We start from the raw sequence: 7,153 nt of genomic DNA, 5'->3' as shown, positions 1-7,153 counted from the left end.
CTAGCTTCAGGGCACGCCTGGGGCAGCCAATGGCTATGCTCTGAGGCTTATGGCAGGCCCTAAAGCTAGGGGAAAGTACTGAAAAGAGACGGGGCCACTACGTGGTTGGGAATGGGGATTGGAGGGTGTCTGGAATTCTAGGGCCTGGTTAGGGGCCCAGGCATGAGAGTCAGGCAGCCTGGATTCTGGTCTAGCTATGCAGCCACAGGCAAGTTACCTGGCCTTAGTTTCCGCATCTGTAAATGGGAATCGTAAAACCTATCTCAGGGCTGGCACGGTGGCTCACGCCTATAATCCCAGCACTTTGGGAGGCCGAGGTGGGCGGATGAGTTCAAAACTAGCCTGGCCAACATGGTGAAACCCCGTCTCTACTAAAAATACAGAAATTAGCCGGGTGTGGTGGTGTGCACCTGTAATCCCAGCTACTCAGGAGGCTGAGGCAGGAGAATGGCTTAAACCCAGGAGGCAGAGGTTGTGGTGAGCTGAGATCGCGCCACTGCACTCCAGCCTGGGTGGTAGAGCAAGACTCTGTCTCAAAATAAAATAAAACTTATCACAGGCTGGCTGAAGTGGCTCACACCTATAATCTTAGCACTTTGGGAGGCTGAGGTGGGAGGATCTCTGGAGACCAGGAGTTTGAGGCTGCAGTGAGCTATGTTTGCACCACTGCACTCCAGCCTGGGCAACAGAGAAAGACCCTGCCTCAAACAAACAAACAACAAAAACAAAACAAAACAAAAAAACTATCTCATGGGAGGTTCTGGTGAGACGAGTAAGATCATGGTGGAAAATGCCTTCGGCCCACTCAGGAAATATTCTTCGGCCTACTGAGGTGCAGAGACTCAAAGAGAGAGCCCTGTATGGAGATACTCAGGCCTGTGGCAAGCTGAGACCTGGAGCTGTCCCTCACTAAACTGGAGAAACGGCTGCTTCCCAGTGCCCAGCAGTAATTCAGCCAAAAGACTTTCAGATGTACAAATTTTTACACTTCTAAAAAATTAATTTTCTCCCAATATTTTATGTTAACTTTCTTTTTTTTTTTTTGAGACAGAGTCTCACTCTGTTCCCCAGGCTGGAGTGCAGTGGCGTGATCTCGGCTCACTGCAAGCTCCGCCCCCTGGGTTCATGCCATTCTACTGCCTCAGCCTCCCAAGTAGCTGGGACTACAGGCACCTGCCACCGTGCCCGGCTATTTTTTTGTATTTTTAGTAGAGACGGGGTTTCACCGTGTTAGCCCGAATGGTCTGGATATCCTGACCTCGTGATCCGCCCGCCTCGGCCTCCCAAAGTGCTGGGATTACAGGCGTGAGCCACCGCACCCGGCCTATGTTAAATTTCAAACCTGCAGAAAGATGGAAAGAATATGAACTCCGGCCAGGCACTGGCTCACGCCTGTAATCCCAGCACTTCGGGAGGCTGAGGCAGGCAGATCACCTGAGGCTGGGAGTTCAACATCGGCCTGGCCAACATTGTGAAACCTCATCTCTGCTAAAAATACAAAAACTAGCTGAGCATGGTGGTGCGCACCTGTAATCCCAGCTACTCAGGAAGCTGAGGCAGGATAATCACTTGAACCAGGGAGGTGGAGGCTGCAGTGAGCTGAGATCGTGCCACTGCACTCCAGCCTGGGCGACAGAGCAAGAATCCATCTCTAAATAAATAAATAAATAAAAATTTAAAAAGGCCTGACGTGGTGGCTTACGCCTGTAATCCTAGCACTTTGGGAGGCTGAGATGGGTGGATCACCTGAGGTCAGGAGTTCAAGACTAGCCTAGCCAGCATGGTGAAACCCTGTCTCTACTAAAAACATAAAAAAAAAATTAGCCAGGGCGGGTGGCGGGCGCCTGTAATCCCAGCTACTTGGGAGGCTGAGACAGGGGAATCACTTGAACCTGGGAGGCGGAAGTTGCAGTGAGCTGAAATCCCACTACTGCACTCCAGTCTGGGCAACAGAGTGAGACTCCATCTTAAAAAAAAAAAAAAAAAAGGCCGGGTGCGGTGGCTCACGCCTGTAATCCCAGCACTTTGGGAGGCCGAGGCGGGTGAATCACGAGGTCAGGAGATGGAGACCATCCTGGCTAACACAGTGAAACCCCATCTCTACTAAAAATACAAAAAATTAACTGGGCGTGGTGGCGGGCACCTGTAGTCCCAGCTACTCGGGAGGCTGAGGCAGGGGAATGGCGTGAACCTGGGAGGTGGAGCCTGCAGTGAGCCGAGATCGTGCGACTGCACTCCAGCCTGGGCGATAGAGTGAGACTCCATCTCAAAAAAAAAAAAAAAAAAAAAAAAAAAAAAACTCCATATACTCTTCCCCTAGATCCACCAATAAACATTTTGCTGCTTCTGCTTCCTATCTATATAGCATGTATTTTGCTAAACCATTGAAAGTAAGTTGCAGACATCTTGAATCTCACATCTAAATATTTCAGCAATTATGTCTTAAGAATAAGAAGCCAGGCCTGGTACAGTGACTCACACCTGTAATCACAACACTTTGAGAGGCTGAGGCAGGAGGATTGCTTGAGCCCAGAGTTCGAGACCAGCCTAGGCAATATAGCGAGACTCTGTCTCTACAAAAAGTAAAAAATTGGCCATGACAATTAATTTATGTTGTTTAAGTCACCTACTTTGTGGTACAGTTGTGTCAAAAATGTTATTTGGCAAGGTACCGTAGCTCACGCCTGTAATCTCAGCGCTTTGGGAGGCCAAGGTGGGAGGATCACTTAAGGCCAGGAATTTGAGATCAGCCTGCACAACATGGCACGACCCTGTTGCCTAACATGGCCCTGTCACCCAGGCTGGAGTGCAGTGGTGCAATCATAGTTCATTGTGGTCTTGAATTACTGGGCTCAAGTGATCCTCCTGCCTCAGCCTCCCAACTAGCTGGGATTACAGGCCCATGCCTGGTGGATTTTTTTCTTTTTTTTTTTTTTTTTGTAGAGACAAGGTCTTATTATGTTGCCCAGGTTGGTCTTGAACTCCTGACCTCAAGTGACTCTCCTCAAGAGCCTCGGCCTCCCAAAAGTGCTGGGACTACAGGAGTGGGCCATTGCACCTGATCTAGATTAAACTTTGTTTTTATTTATTTATTTTTCCATTGCCCCCTAGATTAAACTTTTTAAGTCAAGAATATTACCTAGCTGGGCACGGTGGCTCACGCCTGTAATCCCAGCACTTTGGGAGGCTAAGGCGGGCAGATCACAAGGTCAGGAAATTGAGACCATTCTGGCCAACATGGTGAAACCCAATCTCTACTAAAAATACAAAAATTAGCTGGGCATGGTGGCACGTGCCTGTAGTCCCAGCTACTCGGGAGGCTGAGTCAGGAGAATCGCTTGAACCCAGGAGGCGGAGCTTGCAGTGAGCCGAGATCGTGCCATTTCACTCCAGCCTGGCGAACAGAGTGAGACTCTATCTCAAAAAAAAAACAAAAAACAAAACAAAAAAAAAGAATATACCTAGCTGGTGTTATTTTAAATTAATTTTAATTACAACAATACACAAAATTTTTTGGAAAAGAAATTAGGGGCCGAATTCCCCTTTGACTCCCTCCCCTCCACCCATGAGATGACTTTCTCTTAGCTTGTTCAATGCATACCCATATTGGCGATGTCCAGAGGGACCACCCTCCCAGGGCCTCCTTGTCTTTAGCAGCAGAAATCCCACTGGAGCTTCAGACCCTTCCATCCCCTGTCCTCACACTCACAGCTGGGCCCCCCAACCCCCAGCCAACCTCGAGACCCTCAGAAGTGGTCTTGCCCTTTATTGCTGTGTGTCATTTCACCACAGGAGGCTCAGATGTTCCAGGGACAACTCCGGCCATCCCCTTTTCTGACTCCATCTCCACCCCTCCCCAGCTCCTGGCAGATGTCCTCTGTTCCCTCTGGGGGTGATGGTCCATCGTTAGCAAAATCTCCTGGTCTTCACTACCTTCTCCAGACAGTTCCTATCCCTCCTGCTCTAGCAGAAACCTTGGACTCCTGAGGTCACCACCACTCCTGTCTCCCCCGCAACCCCCCGCAGGCTCTCCTGCACCCCTCCTGCGATGGGCCTGGAAGAGTTGGGGTAGGCATCCTCCATAATCCCTCATCACTTATAGACATTCTGCTCCCTCCTCTTTTGCTTTCCTTTTTATTTTTTTTCTGCCCAAGATAGTACTTCACCTCCTCCTTTCAAACACTCAGGTTTGAACTCCAGTTATCAGCTGATGCCACCCACTTGGTTTCTGACATCTCCCAACCCATGACGGCCCAGTTCTAGATCATTTTAGTTCCTGGCTTGCCATCACTCCAACCTACTTCTGTCTTAATTCTTAGACATGTTGATATCTATGCTGGGCCTCCCAGTTCCTTGAAGCCCTCTTCCCACTGGATCTTGTCGTCTATCCTACCTCAGCCACTCACTCCCACAGTCATCCTGGAGAGCCGCACTGTCCTATACAGGAGCCCAGCCACACATGGCCACGGAGCACTGCATCTCTCCCGAATTGAGATATGCTGTGAGTGCAAAACACATACTAGATTTCAAACAGTCTGTGTGAAAGAATTGTAAATTATCATTAATAATTTTTATTATTTTATTTATTTATATATTTTGAGATGGGGTCTGGCTCTGTCACCTAGGCTGGAGTGCAGTGGCATGATCTTGGCTCACTGCAACCTCCGCCTCCTGGGTTCAAGCGATTCTCATGCCTCAGCCTCCCGAGTAGCTGGGATTACAGGCGCATGCCACCACACCTGGCTAATTTTTTTGTATTTTTAGTAGAGATGGGGTTTCACCATGTTGGTGAGGCTGGTCTTGAACTCCTGACCTCAGGTGATCCACCAGCCTCACCCTCCCAAAGTGTTGTGATTACAGGCATGAGCCACTGCGCCCGACAATAATTTTTTTTTTTTAGATGGAGTCTGGCTCTGTAGCCCAGGCTGGAGTGTAGTGGCGTGATCTCGGCTCACTGCAAGCTCCACCTCCCGGGTTTAAGCAATTCTTCTGCCTCAGCCTCCTGAGTAGCTGGGACTACAGGAGCCCACCACCACACCCAGCTAATTTTTTATATTTTTAGTAGAGATGGGGTTTCACCATGCTAGCCAGGATGGTCTCGATCTCCTGACCTCGTGATCCGCCCACCTCGGCCTCCCAAAGTGCTGGGATTACAGGCATGAGCCACTGCGCCTGCCCCAATAATTTTTATATTTATTACAAATTGAAATCGCATTTTCAGATATATTGGGTTAAACAAGATATAGGATTAAAATTAATTCCACCTCTGTCTTCTTTTATTTTTATTTTTATCTTTTTGAAGACAGGGTCTCACTCTGTTGCCCAGGCTTCAGTGCAGTGGCGTGATCATGGCTCACTGCATCACTGCAGCCTCCAGCTCCTGGGCTCAAGTGGTCCTCCAGTCTCAGCCTCCTGACCTGAGTAATCGGGACCACAGGTGTGAGCACTTGGCTAACTTTTGGGGTTGTTAGAGACAGGGTTTCACTATATTGCCCAGCCTGGTCTTGAACTCCAGGACTCAAACGATCCTCTTGCCTCAGCTTCCCAAAGTGCTGGGATTACAGGCATGAGCCACTGTGCCCGGCTTCTTACTTTTAAAAATGTAGCTACTTAAATTAGCTGGGCATGGTGGCACACACCTATAATCCCAGCTACTCAGGAGGCTGAGGCAGAATTGCTTGAACCCAGGAGGCGGAGGTTGTAGTGAGCCAAGATCGTGCCAATGCACTCCAGCCTGGGCGACAGAGTGAGACTGTGTCTCAAAAAAAAAAAAAAGTAGCTGCTAGAAATGCCAAAATCGTATTGTGGCTCATGTTATATTTCTGTTGAAAGCTCTGCTCTAGATCTTTTCTTTGCCAATAATGACAACCCCCTCCCCATAATTTCAATCTCAAGCATCCTACTCTCTCTTTTTTTTTTTTTTTTTTTGAGACAGAGTCTCGTTCTGTCACCCAGGCTGGAGTGCAGTGGAACGATCTCAGCTCACTGCAACCTCCGCCTCCCGGGTTCAAGCGATTCTCCTGCCTCAGCTTCCCGAGTAGCTGGGATTACAGGCGCCCACCACCACCCCCGGCTAATTTTTCAACCGCCTCAGTTAAGTGCTGGGATTACAGGTGTGAGCCACTGCCCCTGGCCAAGCATCCTACTCTCTAACCAACACCACTCTCTTTCCAGCCCACTCTAGCACCCCAACTCGAATTGACGGTTGACCCCACAGAAACCTGCAATCCATTGATATTACTACACATTTGCTGTCTGTCACCCTTCTCTTGTCCTTACATGCCTCCTCACACAGCCTACATTCCAGGTCAATCATTAATCATGACTGCTTTGGCCAGGTGCAATGGCTCATGCCTGTAATCCCAACACTTTGGGAGGCCGAGGCAGATGGATCACCTGAAGTCAGGAGTTTGAGACCACCCTGGCCAACATGGCAAAGCCCTGTCTCTACTAAAAATACAAAAATTAGCCGGGCATGGTGGCGGGCACCTGTAATTCCAGATACTCGGGAGGCTGAGGCAGGAGAATCACATGAATCCGGGAGGTGGAGGTTGCAGTGAGCTGAGATTGTGCCACTGCACTGCAGCCTGGGAGACAGAGGGAGACTCCATCTCAAAAAAAATAAAAATAAAAATAAAAAAACAATAGAAAAATAAAAACAAACAAAAACCCTACTGCTTTGCATGCATGCGTGTATTCTTTAGCAAATATTTGTTGAACACCTATTATGTGCCAGACACTATTCTAGGCCCAGGGGACACATCAGTGAACACGGCAGACACATTTCCTGTCCTGTAGAGCTTATCTTCTGGTGGTAGGGGACAAACAATAAATAAATCAGGCCAGGCATGGTGACTCATTCCTGTAATCCCAGCACTTCGGAGGCTGAAGTGGAAGGACCACCTTGAGCCCAGGAGGTCAAAGCTGCAGTGAGCCATGGTTGCACTACTGCACACCAGCCTGGGCAACAGAGCGAGACCTGTCTCAAAACAGAGAAACAAAGTGGTCATATCATATGTTAGAATAGTGGTTCTCAAGCTGGGGCTATTTTGGCATCCCAGGGGACATTTGGCAACATCTGGAGACATCTTTAGTTGTCCCCACTGCGGGAGCTGAACTGGTGGCATCCAGTGGGTAGAAACCACAGATGCTG

General features: G+C 48.9%; 1 annotated feature.

The window, feature by feature from the left end:
- Positions 7,044-7,153: an enhancer, noted in NCBI's record as "active region_4918". NCBI's record gives its function as "activates an Ori minimal core promoter by ATAC-STARR-seq in GM12878 lymphoblastoid cells {active_cell/tissue: GM12878}" and the evidence as "EXISTENCE:reporter gene assay evidence [ECO:0000049][PMID:35858748]".

The sequence above is a fragment of the Homo sapiens genome, chromosome 11 (genome assembly GCF_000001405.40).
Source record: "Homo sapiens chromosome 11, GRCh38.p14 Primary Assembly".
NCBI classification, from domain to species: domain Eukaryota; kingdom Metazoa; phylum Chordata; class Mammalia; order Primates; family Hominidae; genus Homo; species Homo sapiens.
This window is presented reverse-complemented; position numbering and strand designations above follow the sequence as displayed.